Source organism: Homo sapiens, chromosome 12 (genome assembly GCF_000001405.40).
Source record: "Homo sapiens chromosome 12, GRCh38.p14 Primary Assembly".
Taxonomy (NCBI): domain Eukaryota; kingdom Metazoa; phylum Chordata; class Mammalia; order Primates; family Hominidae; genus Homo; species Homo sapiens.
Genome location: NC_000012.12, coordinates 105,539,139 through 105,556,623, shown reverse-complemented (window position 1 = coordinate 105,556,623; position 17,485 = coordinate 105,539,139). Strand labels below are relative to the sequence as shown.

Here is a 17,485-nt window from a genome sequence, read left to right as displayed (position 1 = left end):
GATCACTTGAGGTCAGGAGTTCGAGACCAACCTGGGCAATACGGTGAAACTCCATCTCTACTAAAAATACAAAAATTAGCCAGGCATGGTGGTGGGCACCCATAATCCCAGCTACTTGGGAGGCTGAGGCATGAGAATTGCTTGAACCCGGGAGGTGGAGGTTGTGGTGAGCCAAGATCATGCTACTGCACTCCAGCCTGGGTGACAGAGTGAGACCCTGTCTCAAAAAAAAAAAAAAAAAAAGAGCAAGTAAGGGAAAAGGGCATCTCAGAGGCTCTGATTTTTGTGTAATGCCTGGTGGTGAGAGAGATGCCTGGAAATATGGTGGCCAGATGCACGGGAGATGGGGACATTCCCACAGGGAGACGGGGAGCTGAAGACAGCTTCAGTCGCTGCGCTCTTCCCTGACCCCTAATCTGTGAGTCAGATTTCTAGCTCAGGCAGAGACGGGTTGATCCCTCTCCCATGGAGTGGGTTGTCTAAGTGCTCCCCTGGCCACCTGTGTTTAGGCCAGTGGCCATCTGGGAAGCATTCAGAGCCTTGAGGCCACTGAGAAATCTAGAATGCAAATCAGAGACCAAGCAAAGGGGATGGTTGTGGACAAGCAGCCCCCTGGCTCTTGCCCCCAGCAAGCCCTGACGCTGGGCTCCTGGGAGAGCAAGACTAGCTCCAAGGTCCACCTGCTGGAGCACTGCTTGGCCTGGCCCAGCCGGGCAGGGCAGAACATTCTAGGGAAAAATCCTCAGGGTCAGCCTCTGAACTGAGGGAAAGATGGGCCGGCTGCCAAACCTAGCAATCCTGCACACAGATTTCCCCCATGCGGCCAGACTTCTAGACACATTATCCTCTAGTTCACCTCATTCATTTATTCATTTATTCATTTACTTCATTATTCATTCAACAAATAGAGCAGAGTCTGCTGCACAACTCAGGCTCTGGAGTCAGGCAAAGCTGTGTTTGCACTGTAGCTGTACCACTTCCTAGCTGTGTGTCCTTGGACAATTACGCAACCTCTGTGTCTCAGTTTTCTCACCTGTTGCAGAGACACAATCATAAAATTATCTCAATGTGTTGTTGTGAAGATTAAATGAGGTAGGGGATTCTGCTCAGAACCTGAGCAAGTAAATACTTTGTAAATGATCACTTTTGTTCTTATTATTGTCATTACTGTTATTATTAGTAATATTATCATTAATTTTCAAAAGTGTGAAGGTAGAGGATGCTTCTTCCCCACTCATGACGATTTCTTCTATGTGGGAGAGGTCCCACTTCACTCCTGGTTTCTCTCTGTCCCCTGACTTACTCCCCCCAGGGAAGAAGTGGTTTTCTTATTCTGATAAATCTGGAAGGAGAAACTGGGTATGTGCAGCCCAGCCGCGTCTTTTCTCTTTCCCTTGGGAGTGAGGCTGCTATCAAGGAGTACGTTCTGCTGCCCCTCCATACACGTCCCACAAAGGCCTGTCCAGAGCTGCTGTGATTGGGAGGTAATATTTTTAGGTTGGGTATTCGATATCAAGAAATCTACCAATGCACAGATATAAGCTCCATTTTCCAGCACCCACTTTATCAGTAACAAAACGGATGCTCCATTTCCGTCTCCATCTGCCAAGTCTTTTGTTTTACTTTACGAACAGTTCAGAATTCTAGTGAAAAAAAATAGGTGCTATTTATTGGGTACCCTCTCAAATCCCAACAATTGTAAATAATGACATGCATACAAACAGCAGAGATTTGACCACCTGGGTTCAATGAGACAGTTCAAAGGAAGAATTGAATTCAAATCCACAGATTTTTTTTTCTTCTCTTGAATCCCACCAGGATCCTCATAAACATTCCAAATGCTTGATGATCCTGTGATTTCTAACAGAAATTTATAGTTTCATTATGTAAAAGACAAAAAAAGGGCTCCTTGCCCACTTACTCTTCTTGACCTGTGCCCCTCCCTGGAGCCAAGGTTAGCAGTTTTCATGAGTACTGCTTACTTTTTGTTTAGGTCATCCTTTCCTATTGAATTCCAGATCCTTATCCAGGCCCTCATGCAGGAAAGGGCTTCTTTTATGTGGGTTTTTGTTTTTTTTAATGGGCTTCAAGGGCTGAGCTACCTTTGGTAAACTACGTCTTTGGCTCCCTGGTGATCACGAAAAGTTTCATTCGTGTAGGCTGACTCTTGTTTGGAAATGGTGATTGCATGAAGCAGAGAGATTCTGAGATTAGGGGGGCTAGAGCATTCCAGCTCAATAAATCAATCCCTTTTTAATTGTGTCCCTGTCAGCCAACATTCTTCCAGAGACAAGAGGGAAGGGAGCTTGTTAGCAGAGTGATTCCTCACTCCCCTTTGTATGCTGATCTCATTGTAAATTAGATGGAGCAGCAGCAAGGAGAGCTGTGTTGCACCTCCCAGGTCTGTCCCAGTCACAAGAAAGAAGCCACTGGATCGTCAATATGCTTGACACAAACTCGGAACTTTTGAGAAATTTCAACCTGAGTGTCCATCTTTGCATAGAAAACTAAGTTCTAACCCCATTTGGTGAAACTGACCGCCTCACCCTGCATATTTCTAATCGCTTTAAGTTAAAGATCATTAAATCATCGGTTACATTTTCCAAGTTTCCTCCAAAAGTTGTTAAACAATTCAGTTTCTATTAGGCGTCTAAACTTACCTTTCCTCATTGATGTTCATAGCTCTGTTGTTCTAGAAACGGGCTGGGCTGACAGTAGATTTACCCTCACAAGATGAATGAAATCCCATGTTATTCACAAAACCCAGACATCTGGGCAGTGTTTGTCTTTAAATGTGAATGATCTAGAACCTTCATCTGCTCCTCAAATTTTAACATATATGGAAATCCCTGGGAATCCTGTGACCACGTAGATTCTAATTCAAGATTTCTTAGTGAGGGGCCCAACAGTCCGCATTCCTCACAAGCCCTCAGGTGATGCCAGTGCTGCCAGTCCATGGACGAGACTTTGAGTAGTAAGGATCTAGAATCCACTTATACTTTCACCTGAATAATGTTCAAAATCTGTAACACTGTCTCCTTTGTCTGGGCTCTGTAGTCTCACAGATCTGGACAAGTTACTTAAACCCCATAAGCCTACTTTCTTCATCTGTATCTCATGAGACAATGCATGAAAGTACTTATAATAGTGCCTCGCACAGAGTAGGCACTTAGCAAATGGTACTGTTTAACAGCATCAGAATCAGTATCACCTAGATCAGGGGAAGCTGCAGCCTGCAGCCACATCTGTCCTGCCACCTGTCTTTAGAAATCATTTTATCAGAACACGGCCATGCTCACTGATTTCCACATTGTCTCTGGCCATTTTTGCACTACAACGGCAGAGTTGAGAAGCTGCAACAGGGACCTCATGGAGCCCACAGCCTAACATACTTGCTACCTGGCCTCTTACAGAAAAAGTTTGCCAACCTTTGATCTATATCACTTATTCAACATGAAAATAACTATGGAGCACCTATTGTGTACTGGGCCCTGGAGATAATAAAAAATTCCTTCCCCTGAAAGATCTCAGCATCTAATAAATATTTAATTAATCCATGTGATATCCCCAACACACTCTTGCCTCCAGGCACCCATCTTTAAAATGAAGATCATTACAACACCCATTTCAGAGTGTTGCCACGTGGGCTTATTGAGTTAATGAATGTTAAATTCTTAGGATATTACCTAGAACATATTAACTGTTCAATATTAGCCTTTATTATCATTATCCTTATAGGTGTTTTCATGCAAATTTTATACCCACAAAAGAGGTTTATTACTGCTCTTAATAGATGTAGAAATTGTTAGCAGGCAGAATCTTGTTCTTATTAATCTGAAGCTGCCCCATGTAGTCAGACTACAGATACCTCCCCAGATACCTCCCCAGATACCTCAGTCCTCTCTGACAGTCTGGCTCAGGACAGTCCTTAAGTTCAATACAGTAATAATAAAAAAAGATCACCAGTAACTAATGCTTTCTGAGAGGCAGGTACAGGCACATGTGGAATATATTATTACAATAAATCGCAAGCTATGAGGTAGGCAACTGCTGTTTTCTGCACACACAGATACGGAAACAAAGCCTTCTATAGTCCTTGTAACACAGCTGATGAGTGATAGAGCCAGGATTTGAACCTAGTTGTATGTTAAGAATGGTCTTACTTCAAGACCCACAACACAACCCTTGTACTCTGCTGCAAACATCAGAAAGTGAGTGGGCTGGCAATAAACATCTAAGGTATCCTTGCAAATGGCAGGTATTATTCCAATGCTGAGCAACAAATTTCACACCCACATGAATTGGCAAAAACCTTCCCAGGCCTTTGGTTTGTTGGCAGCAGATAAGGCAGTCACACAATTGCATTGGCATCTGCTGCCAGGAGTGCAAACCAGAAACCAAAGGCAAAGAATGGTCAAAGCTATTCAACAGATGGAGTGGCCTGAGGTAAGAAGCACAGGCTTTGGGGTTTTAATCCTGGTTTGATGAACATACCTTTACCTAAAGCCTTAGTATTGGGCCTGGCCCTGGCCCTGTAAACCCACAGTGAGTGGTAGCTGTGCACATTTTATATAAGGTTATATGATGGGGAGCTTTGAAATCAGAGACCAGGGTTCAAACCCCAGCTCCAGTCATTACTAGCTGTGGTTCCTTGAAGCAAGTTCTTACAAAAGGGGACTCAATTCCTTTTCTGGACAATGTGGCCCATGACAGTGCCAACTTTGTAGAATCATTGTGAAGATCAGTTGACATAAGGAATGTCACATGTGTAGCAGGTACAGTACCACCAAGTAAGCCAACAATAAGTATCATTTGTTTTTGTGTTTATGACCCCACCCCAGTCCCAGGGTCTGGTAGGTCTCTACTAAATGTTACTTCCTTTCCCTTCTGTTTTTCCTGATATAAACCTGACTGCAGACATATCCAACAAGTCCTCCCAACCTTAAATCAACCCTTCACATATTTTTAATGAATTGCTTCCTCAAGCTCAAATTTATGGAAAGAGAAAGTAGATTTCTTCTAAGAGTAAGTAGATTTAAAATATGTCATTGCATGTAACATAAGTGCTTGGATCATCTTTTCTCCATTGACTTCCATATTCATTCAGACATGCTCTACTTTCATTGCTGATTGATCTGTATCCAGCCAGCAAATCTTTTTTGAGCACCTACTATGTGCCCAGTACTGTTGTCAGTGCCAAGATACAGAATCAAATAAGGCAGATAGCAGGCCACTCCCATGAAAGTGATGTTCTAATGGGAAGAGACAGACAAAAAGCACGTGAAGAAGGAGATCATGTAACTTCTTACTTTGCTCTAAAGCAAATAAAGCAGGATTGTGTGAAAGCACTGTGGGTAAGAGGGGAATCAGCTTCAGATTGTGTGGTCATGGAGACACTGAATAATGGGAGAGACAAGGCAGGCAAAGGTGGGAAAGAATATTCCAGGTAAGCAGAATGGCCAGTGCAAAGAGTGCAGAGTGGAGAAGAACCTGGCCTTTCCAGAAACATACAGACATCCAGGTGGCCAGAGCAGAGGAGGAGATTCGGCTGGGCGGGCTGAAAAGTGAGGGGCAGAAGCCTGGTCAAAGAAATTCACATGAGCTACGAGAAGGAGCATGAATCTCTTCCAGGAGTAATGAGAAGCCACTTGAAGGTTTAAAGTAGGGAAGGAATGTGATCTGATTTTACTTTTAGGGCAATCACTTTGGTTGTATGTGGAGAATCAGCTGGAAGAGGCTGAACAGAAGCAGAGAGACCAGTTAGAAGGCCACTAACTGGTCTCACTGCAGGCAAGAGGAGATGGTGACATGGACAATGGCAACAGATAGAAGCAGGCAGATTCTGGATATATGTTCCAAGTTGAGCTGACTTGCCTAGTTGAATGAGATTAAAGAGAGAAAGATAATCTTTCACTGGCAGTAGGCCTTAATGTTTCTACCAATCAGCCATTTGATCAAGACTTTGATCTGGCCCATGACAGCATCTGTTAACTCTGATCTTGACCTGAGTTAAGGGCCTTAGTAAAACCAGTTTTAAGTGCTCAGTGGTCACTTTAGCAGGAGTGGCATAAAGGGTAACTACTTATATCTGGAGATATTTATGGACACCAGTGCATCTAAATGCCACTCGACAGGTGCCAGTCAAGACTCCTGGTTGCTTCTTCATACTGAGAAGCCTGTCCCGCCGAGGGCAGCTCTTTCTGCCACTGATACAACAGAAAGAGCAAAAAGTTGGAGCCCAGAGGGTCCTGAGTTTTCACCTGAGGACTCCTCACCTGGCAGCTACAGGATTGTCGTCCAGGTGCTTAATTTCACTGAGCCCCAGGTTCCGATCTATAAAGCAGGGACCTCCAGAGGTAATGAACGGATCCCACCCAGCACATCATTATTGCTGTGTAAACTCTCACAACATCTCACATCTTTGCTCTTAGTAACCAGTGGTTTGGTTTGCTTTCCTGCATTTTCTCAGAGCTGCCACTCCCTGAGGCAGGTTTTGCTCAGTACGATAAGTGTCCTAGCCACCACATCCCTCCCACTTGACTTGCTGTGTTAGTCTGGGTCCTCCAACAAGCAGTCATTAAGGCAGGATTAAATGTGTGATGATTTTATTAGGGAAAATCCCTGTGAGAGAAAATTGGAAGAGAACCTTGTAAGGCTGGGAGTTGTCAGATCACATTGCAGGTCTGGCCTTGAGTGAATGGGAGAAGGAAGAAGGGTGAGTAGAAATGTTCTAGAGTTCCAAGCTATCTAAGAAGATTCTGGCAAGGTCATCTGAGTTCTCAAGGCAAAGTCGACCATCAGAGGAGGCTCGTGTCTTATGACTACTCTGCATTCTCTCCACCAGCCCTTCCTCTCTTCATGTCCTTCCTGTCCAACACAGACCCTGTATTAGTCCATTCTCACACTGCTATAAGGACAAACCAGAGATTGGGTAATTTATAAAGGAAAGAGATTGAATTGACTTACAGTTGCACATGGCTGGGGAGGCCTTAGGAAACTTACAATCGTGGCAGAAGTGGAAGCAAACATGTCCTTCTTCACATGGCAGCTGGGAAAAGAAGAATGAATATCCAGTGAATGGGGAAGCCCCTTGTAAAAACATCAGATCTCATGAGAACCAACTCACTATCACGAGAACAGGATGGGGGAAACCACCCCCATGATTCAATTATCTCCACCTGGTCCCTCCAACAACACGTGGGGATTCTGGGAACTACAATTCAAGATGAGATTTGGATGGGGACATAGCCAAACCATATCAGACCCCATGGTCCATCACTGGACTCAGGCACTGGCTGGAAGCTGTTTTTGTGAGGCACAACTTTGGCACAAAAACTATGACGAATTTCAGAGCCCAGCAGCAGAGCCCTCAGTCAATGACACACTATGCAATCAGGGATCTGTGAGGAGCATTCTCATTGATGTCATGCTTGCTGCATCCAAAACTGAGGACTTTACTGGTTCAAAAAAAATTGAAGAAATCATCCCGTAGATAACAGTGTTAGGGAGCTGTAAAATGCCAGACATCGCACCATGTTCCCATCCTCTAAGACCCTTCTCTTGAGGGCCCAACTCCCTCTCTACAGTGGCTTCTCTCCTACACTTTCAGAGTTTACAAGGAGCTTTTGTTCTTCTCTCACAGCTTGGTCCATAAAGTGGGAACTGCCTCAAACACTGTGGGTCACTCAGACAGCCATTCTCTTCACCTCCTCTCTTGTGCCTCCTCAGGGCAGGAGTGGTGACCTAATGCCATGGTGATCCGGGCAGAGCCTTTCATCCACTGAGCTGCATTAACCAGGGGTGGATCTCCGCATGAAGAGGCAGGCCTGGAGGCCACCACTCCCCTGCAATGGATGAGGCGTGGGGCAGGGCAGTTTCCTCCAGGATGCTGCTGATGGGGCAAGACTGGCTTTGCAGATTTAACTCACCTCATAAGGGATGAATCTAGGCACTAGATTTGGAGGAGCAGAAGTAGAAAGTCCAATTTGAGCTTCTGTTTTAAGCCCTATTCTCCAGTCCAACTCTGGGTAATAAATGTGGAATCTGAACCCTTATTTATCACTCATTTCTATTTCTCAGATTGATTAGACTCAATTGGAAGAAAGAAGTATGATCAACTGGCACCTGTGGCACCTCAAATCTCAATGATGTCACACCTGAGATACTTGGATTATTGACCAAGGATAGTTTCTGTTGACACCACTGTTTGTGTGGTGGGATGCATCAACACTTCTTGAGCCTCTTCTCTAGTCTCAACTCCAAGTGGCTTTCCAAGTGGGCCTTTTTCATCTATGGTCATGATTACGCTCTGTCAGCCTTTTGCACCACTTGCAGTCACTTGCTTGCCCCTCCCCTGCAAGCTTACAGCCTTAGAAATGCTGGGAAGAAAAAGGTTCCAGCAGATCCCGCTTTCTTCTTCTCAGCCACATACAGGCTCCTCCCACAGTACGGTTAGGCATTCACACACAAGAACCGTAGTTATTAGTTTGTAAAGTTTCCACCCTATCAGGGAGATCATCCTACAGCCCTCTGGTTCATGGAAGATTTGGCACATGGTGCTGAGTCCTTCCTCCCCTAAGTGTTGCCACCATCCTAGGTGACTATTACATGCACGAGGATAAACCACTACACCTTTTGACCTTGGTCTTTACCTCCATGCATTCCTGTCCCAATCATGCATTCCTGTGGCCACTCCTGGACCTGACTTCAGGAAGCACATCTCCACCTCTGAAGTCTTAAAATCAGACATCTTACTTTTTCCCCAAAGCCTCACATTTCAGAAGGTATTCATAAGTGGGGCAGAGACCCCTTGAATGATAACTTCCTGGGGTGTTCCTTAAATATGCCTATCCTAGACCCCACCTCAGACTTACTGAGTTAGACTCACTAAAGAGATACTCAGAAATATGCCTTGTTAGCAAGCCCCTAGATGATGCTTATGCCTGGTTGAGTTTGAGAACTACCATCTGTCAGTTCAGCCAGGTGGGGTGTTACCCTCACCACGCCTGTCCCTCAAATGCACAGAACCCTCACGTCCTTGACTCCTCTGCTTCCTCTCTACCAGCTCCTCCTCGCTTCACTTTCTTCCTGTCCAACAAAGACACCATGGTCCATCACTTTATCCCTCTTAGCAATTTCAATTTCCTGGCCTAACTGGGCTAGCTTTATCCAGCAAAACCCCAGGCCTTGGACAATCCAACTACTCACCTTTTCCATCAGGGCTCATTGACTCACTTATCCTTTCAGTAAAATTTTGCTCAATGCCCAAAGTATTCCAGTCATTATATAAAGTAATAGAGCAGTTTTGTTTTGTTCTTTAACTCATGATCATTTACCATTGAGGAGTTCATGGTTGAGTTGGGGAGAGCCACAAAATGATCATTTTGATATATTGTGCTAAGTTCAGGAATAGAAGTAAGTCCAGGGCACTGGGTTGGAGAGGTGCAGCAAGATCAGGAAAGCCCTCTTGGAGATGTCTCAGAAGAGTCTTAAAGAAATGATGGAAAGGAGGTAGACAGACAAAGAGGAGGGGGTGCATTCCAGTAACAGGTCAGTGTGGGCAAAGGCAGGATGTAAGAACAGCATAGCAGGTATGAGACATGAAAAGCAAGTCAGTACTGCTGAAGCGTGAAGTTCATGGCATGGAGAGGGGAGAATATTTTCCAAACAAAAACTCAGGATATATGACCCCAATGAGGTGAAATGTTCCAAATTAGGAATGTCTCAGAAAATACCAGAGATGATGTCACCAATATACTGGGTAGTTAGGGCTCAATCTGCCACCTCCTCTACATAATCCTGCCACTACAGACCCTCAACTCCCTACTAGAATACACCAAACAATAAAACCCACTGTGCAAGATTCTGGGAGACCCTTTTCATGTCAATCCCAGTGTTGTTATAACAGTGAAAGATAAAAATATCAACAGGGGATTGGTTAAATTTACTGCGGTATGTTCAATTACATCATGTGTCATCATATTAGACTTCATTTGCTAACAATAACATGAGAAAATCCTCACTTAAAATTATTTTAAATAAAGCAAGTATTTTCATATGTTAGGAGTGAACTCTACTTAAAAAAATAAATCTATGTATATCAGATAATATAATATCATCGTAGAACATATAAATGGAAATAATTGTTAGGTTCCCATTTTTTTCTAGTTCCACTCTATTCTCCATGCCACAGTCAGATTGATATTTCTAAAACACAATCTTAACCTGCCCAAAACCCCTCAAAATCCAAACTCCTTTATCATGGAGCCTGAAGCTCAATATCATCTGGCCCCTTTCCCACCCTCACCTTTGCTTGCCATCTGTCTCACTTCCAGGCCTTCACACATGCTGTTCCTTCTCCTGAAATGCCCTTCCTCATTCCCCTCACCCACTTGCCTGCTTGACCAGCTCTGCTCACCATTCAAGATGCAACTGGCCAGGTGCGGTGGCTCACACCTGTAATCCCACCACTTTGGGAGGCTGAGGCGGGTGGATCACTTGAGGTCAGGAGTTCGAGACCAGCTTAGCAAACATGCTGAAACCCTGTCTCTAATAAAAAATACAAAAATTAGCCAGGTGTGGTAGCGTATGCCTCTAATCTCAGCTACTCAGGAGGCTAAGGCAGGAGAATTGCCTGAACCCAGGCGGCAGAGGTTGCAGTGAGCAGAGATTGTGCCACTGCACTCCAGCCTGGGTGACAGAGCAAGACTTTGTCTAAAAAAAAAAGATGCACCTTAGATGTAACTGAGTACAGGAAGCCTCCTCTGACCATCACCTCTTTCGAGTTATACCCAGAGCCCCTTCTATGTTCTCCCATGGCACCCTGTGCTTTCCCATAGCACTTTCCACACTGTATTGGTATTGTCAGCTGACTCCTTCCTATGCTCCACTAGAATTTAATCTCCATGATTGCAGAAGCCATATTCATCTTGTACACACACACACACACACACACACACACACACACACACACACACACACACAATCTGTATTAGTTATCTATTGCTGCATAACAAATTATCCCAAAACTTAGTGGCTTAAACCAGCAAACATGTATTATCTCACCCAGTTTCTGAGAATCAGAAAACTAGGAACATCTTCATGGTGTGATTCTTGCTCAGGGTCTCTCAGGAAGTTGCAGTCAAGATGTTGGCCAAAGCTGCAGTCATCTGAAGGCTTGACTGGGGCTGGAGGATCCACTTCCAAGATGGCTCGCTCACATGGCTGTTGGCTGGAAGTCTCGGTTTTTCACCACATGCATGTGTTCCTGACAGGGCAGCTAGCTTCTCCAAAGGGAGAGCGAACCAAGAAAAAAAGCAAGGACATAACAGAGATTCAGTATCTATTTTAGTCCCATTTCATACACAAGGAAACACAGAGAAGAGAGGAACACAGGTAATGTGCTCAGGATCACACAGCTAGTTAGCATCAGAGGCAAGGTTTGAACCAGGCAGCCTGTCTCTAGAGCTATTGCTCTTAACCATCCTGTGATACTGCCTCTCTAAGCAAATCAGTATATATTTGCTAGATAATAGAAACTTCCATTTGTTAGGAGCCATGTGTTAATATATGTTTCCATAAATGAGCTTGTTTTTAGTTCATTCATACTATACGCCAAGCACTATGCTAGACACTTGAGATATCATTTCAGTTATACACACATCTATAATCCACATTGCACTGAAGGAAACTTACAATGTTCCAGAGCATCCATGGCTTGGAAAGGGAACGGCAGCCGATGGCAACCCTTGGCCTTGGAAAGCTGGCCTCAAGATCCAGCTCCTTGGGAAGGGCCAGGTCTCTCTGGGGAGGCTACCTGAGCTAAGCTCCCTCAGGCCAGCAGGCCCAGCATCACTGTGTCTAAGGCAGCCAGCTTGCCCCAAGCACCTCCTGCTGGGAGATTAGGATGGGGCCTGGGTGTGCAGGGTGAGGCTGGCAGCCATGATTTGGGCCAGATGATTTCACTGGAGAACCATTCTACAGCTGCCTTGCCCAGGCTATGAGAACGCTTGGAGGGAGACAGCCCAGCAGTGATATCACCACTGAGGTACCAGGCACAATGGCACCCTTGTAAGATGTAGCTTGTGATTTCATGGGTTCAAAATACTGAGCCATGATCCCTGCCCCAGCCCAACCCCACCTAGACATAGCACAGTGTAGCTTGCAATGCCCATGAGCTGGGATTAATCCTCTTCCCCAAACCTAGACTTGGGAATCCAGAAGAAGAAACCAGCAATATTTGCCATGGGCAAATTTTTCAACTCTCTTCTCATGCTTAAAATCATAAGAGAAGAACTTAAAGGTCCTTCCACTGAATTACTATTTGTTCTAGTTTAAGTATAGGTGTTGTTCACATTCCAATGCACCACACGTACTAAAGGACCATACTTTATTCTTTTATCAAACATTTTCCCCACCTTATTTAGAGAGGATTTAAGATTTAGATACACACAAAGCAGGAAGATCACATGAATTATGTTGGAGAGAAAGAAGAGAAATCAGTACTGGAACATTAAATGGAGTGATATGATTTGGCTGTGTCCTCACCCAAATCTCATCTTGAATTGTAGCTCCCATAATTCCTTTCTATTGTGGGAGGGACCTGGTGGGAGATAATTGAATCATGGGGATAGGTTTTTCCCATGCTTATCTTGTGATAGTGAATAAGTCTCACAAGATCTGATGGTTTTAAAAAGGGGAGTTTCCCTGCACAAGCTCTCTTCTCTTGTCTGCTTGCCATGTGATACATGCCTTTCACCTTCTACCATGATTGTAAGGCCTCCCCAGCCACGTGGAGCTGTAAGTCCATTAAGCCTCTTTCTTTTGTCAATTGCCCAGTCTTGGGTATGCCTTTATCAGCAGTGTGAAAACTGACTAATACATGGAGCCAAGAACAAGGCAAATACTGGAAATATATACCATGGAGTCCTTCACACTTAGTATGGATGGCTCTACTTTGGCAGCCCTGAGCTCCCCAGCAGACAAAGTGAAGACAGAAACCCAATCAAATTCAAAAATCAGTGTTCAGCATCTTTTTTGTTTGTTTTTTTTAACTTGTATATATTGAAATATATTTTTCTTCGATAAATTTATTTTTTAAATATTATAATGTTCATGAGATTAAAACCAGCCAGCTGCTCAAGAAAAACACAGCTACCAGAAAAAAAAATTCCAAGATTTAGCATAAAGAGTATGTAAAGTGAGATCATAAGTAACATCCTTATAAAAATCTCTTGGTGCAGGCTAAGAGATTGAATTGGATTATGTTATACAGCAAAGATGATTGAATATCACTGCCTTGATTATGCTATTTTGTGTGGGACTCTGTCTTAGCAGACTGAAGAGAGAGACTCTTCTGATAGCCTTGAAAAAGCAAGCTGTTATTATGTGAACTCCCAATAGGGAGGGCCACAGGGCAGGGAACTGTGGGTGGCCTCTAGGAACTGAAGACCTCAATTCTACAGTCTCAAGGAGCTTAATTCTGCCAACAACCATATGAACTTGGATAGGACTTCTTCCCAACTCAAGCCTCCAGATAAGAATGCAGCCCAGCCACCCACTTGATAGCAACTTTATGAGACTCTGACCAGGGTACCCAGCTAAGTCATGTCTACTCCCTGGTCAACTGAAACCAATAAATGGATGTTGTTTCAAGCTGCTGGCCCTTTACAGAAAAAGTTTGCTAACTTCTGCACTAAAGCACAATTCATAAAATGATTCTATGAGGAGTATATTGGCTTTTGAAAGCACACACAGAGAGAAGTAATAAGAATGTTTCAAGGCCCTACTCTGGGCCAGCACCGAAAGAGCCACTAACATTGACATAAGAGAGTATATGACACAGCTAAGCAGGGCCCATGAAGGCAACTGAACCAGCTAGATTTCTTCGGTAGCAAACAACAGAAGTTGATTCTGACTAGTTTACCCAGGAAAGAAATATATCTGAAGCTTATCAGATAATTTGTGGAATCAAAGAAAAGACCAGTGACTTATTCTCAGGACAGGACAGAGACAAAGAGAGTTCTGGGGGTGTAAATAGCAGAAGTGACTAAGAGCTGCAGCAGGACTCTGTCACTGGAATGACTGCACCTTAATTCTGGGTTATATTTTTTGCATCACTGGGTTCAAAATTCAAAGTCCCAAGAAAGAGAGGATCTGACGTTCTGAGGCTAAGGAGAAGCAGGCACTTGTATTTAACCAATCATGACTGCACAAAAGAGGGAAGAGATTCTTTCCCTAAAGGAAATCAGGATATTAGAGCTGCAAAATGGGGGGAAGGTGCTGAGCAGCCATCAGTGGTCACCACTGCAGCCTGGCCTCCATCCCTGCATCCTCACATGCCTGCATCCCCGCATTCCCCTGTTCCCTGGAACTCATCCAGTCCAGCAGCCTTCCAGATGTCTCTCTGCAAGTTTTTGCCATGTTTGTTTTTACACAGTGATGTCCACCTGTCTGAAACATAAGCTTCAGGAGGACAGAAATGATGTTCACCTTCTTCACAGGCTTAACACCTGCCCAGTAGATAGAAAGTGCTCAAGAAATCTATGTCACATCAAATGAAAAGGCTTCTCCACAGCAAAGAAAACAATCAACAAAATGAATGAGTGACCTACGGGTTGGGAGAAAATATTTGCAAACCACATATCTGACAAGAGGTTAACATCCCAAGTATATAGAGCACTCACACAACTTAATAGAAAAAAACACATAACTCTATTGAAAAATGAGCAAAGGACTTGAGTAGCCATTTTTACAAAGAAGACATACAAATGGCCAACAGGTATATGAAAAAGAAATGCTTAAATCACTATCATCAGGGAAATGGAAATCAAAATCACAAGGAGCTATCACTTCACATCAATTAGGATGGCCATTATCAAAAAGACAAAAGATAACAAGTGTTGGAGAGGTGTGAAAAAAAGGGAACCCTTGTATACTATTGATAGGAATGTAAATTGGTACAACCACTGTGGAAAACAGTATGGAGATACCTCCAAAAATTAAACCTAGAGCTAGTGTAAGATCCAGCAATCCAATCCCACTTCTGGGTATATATCCAAAGGAAATGAAACCAGTATCTCGAACTGATACCTGCACTTCCATGTTCATTGCAGTATTATTCACAATAGCGGAGATAAGGAAACAACCTAAGTGTCCACTCACAGATGAATGGATAAAGAAATTGTGAGAAATATATATTTTATATATATATATATATACACATATACAAATACATGTGATGGAATATTATTCAGCTTTGAAAAAGAAAATTCTGCCACTTGTGATAACATAGATGAACCCAGAGGACATTTTGCCAAGTGAAATGAGCCAGACACATAAAGAAAATCCTGCAGCATCTTACTTATATGTGGAATCTAAAAAAATCAAACTCATGGAAGCAGAGAGTAGAATGGTGGGGAATATAGAAGGAGATGTTGGCCAAAAGGTACAAAGTCACAGCTATGTAAGATGAATAAATCTAGAGCTCCAATGCACAGCATGAGGACTTTAAGTAATAACTCTGTATGAGTTCATTTCACACTGCTATAAAGAAATACCCGAGATTGGGTAATTTATAAAGGAAAGAGGTTTAATTGGCTCACAGTTCCACATGGCTGGGGAGGCCTCTGGAAACACAATCATGGCCAAAGGGGAAGCAGGCACATATTACATGGTGACAGAAGAGAGAAAGAGTGTGAGTAGGAGGAACTGTCAAACACTTATAAAACCATTAGATCTTGTGAGAACTCACTATAACACGAACAACATGAGGGAAACTGCCCCCATGATCCAATCACCTCCCACCAGGTCCCGCCAAGACGCATGAGGATTATGAGGATTACAATTCAAAATAAGATTTGGGTGGGGACACAGAGCCAAACCATATCAAATACTATACTGTACACTAGAAATGTGCTAAAAGAATAGACTTCAGATGCTGTCACTACAAAAAAGAAACAAAATTTAACTATGTGAAGAAAAGGATATGTTAATTTACTTGACGATAATAATCATTGCACTAAGTATACATATATCAAAACATCATGTTGTATACCTTAAATGTACACGATTTTTATTTTAAAAAGTCATTAAAAGTAAACCGTGTTAAGTGGATGAATGGAGAAATGAGTGTTCAGACAAACTAATTTCTGAACCATTCCACCAAATCCCATGTGGACAAACCTATAGTATTTTTTCCTTCTACAAAAATAAAGTAGTGCCTTGCTTCTCTCTCTTCTTTATGTTCCTCTTGGCTTTCCCACCCTTTCCACCAGCTGTAGAGGAGTCCAGCAGACAGGTTATTTTCACAACCAACACCGGATAAGTGGCATTAGGAAAATAAATATCCATCGTACCAATTTTGCTGTGTTGCTCTCCTCCCGTGAAATGATTTGTGAAATGCTATAAACATATAGCAATGGTTCTTGCTGCCTCAAACAAGCGATGGTTTAAAGCTGGGGATGGAAGGGTGAAAGAAGAGAAGAGGAGCTGTTTCAAAGGGGCTCTTTGGGACACTGGGCGCTTCTTGAGTCTCCAGAAAGTCAGAGCCTTGCACAGCCATTAGTGAATGCAGACAGCCTTGCTCAGTGAGAAACCAAGGTTTATTATGCTCACATGTCTGCAGGTTGGCTGGGCAGCCCTGCTGCTCTTAGCTGGGCATAGTCATGTGTCTGTGGTCGCTGCGAGTAGAAAAAGCAGCTCTGTTATTCCAAGCTGGACTCTCTCATCTGTTTTGGAATCAGCTAACTGTCAACTGATCTTACATGGTTTCAAGTTGAACAAATGAGCTCTTCTCCACAGGCTCTCACATTCTCTGGCTCACTAGTCCAAGCCTATTTACCCAACAGAAGCAAAGTTCTAGGAAAGAGAAGATATGCACCCAATCTCCTGAGGCCTAGGTTCACAATTGGTACTGTCCCACTTCCTCACCTTCTACTGGCCAAATCAAGTCACAGTTGAGCCCAGATTCAAGGACAGGCAAACAGGCTCCACCTCTCGATGGAAGGAGCTGCAAAGTCTTTGTGTAAAGGGCATATTAATTACAACTGTGGAAGCAATCAATCAGTCACAACCACTTTGGAGCCCATCGGAGAGCCTCCTACAGGGCCTTGCTCTGGGCAGATGCTCACCTCCACCAGACCATCAGCTCTTGAGGGCAGAGACCTTACCTGGCTGGTTTACCTCTGGCTTTCTATCATCTTGCACATAGTAGGGGCTCAATAATTAAACATATTCATCAATTAAAGCAAACAGCTATGGGAAAGAAAGCATGTTCTTATCTCCTCTGGTGCATAATTCCACAAAAACACAACCTGCCGAGTCATTCTCCTCAGACCAAATCTCCATGAGTACTATGTGCAGAAAGGGGTTGTTAGCAGATGCTTCTCCCTGATGATGGTTTGAAAAATTCCTCAAACTTAATACCATCAAGGACTCCAGGATTTAAAAGAATCTCTCCACCGTCCAAGAGAACAAATAGTCTCTA

General features: G+C 43.5%; 1 long non-coding RNA gene across 3 annotated transcripts in view; it reads right to left on the bottom strand.

The window, feature by feature from the left end:
• Positions 1-6,588: 6,588 nt before the first annotated feature.
• LOC105369958 (uncharacterized) overlaps positions 6,589-17,485 on the bottom strand; it is a 60,334-nt gene continuing 49,437 nt past the window's right edge. For 2 of the 3 annotated variants that reach the window (XR_007063438.1, XR_001749300.2), the window contains 3 exons: positions 11,065-11,282; positions 7,003-7,048; positions 6,589-6,907 (listed from right to left, as the gene is read on the bottom strand). This is a non-coding gene — a long non-coding RNA (uncharacterized LOC105369958). Of the gene's footprint in view, positions 6,908-7,002; positions 7,049-11,064; positions 11,286-17,485 lie in introns of all 3 variants that reach the window. The other variant, XR_945305.2, reaches the window with a different exon arrangement.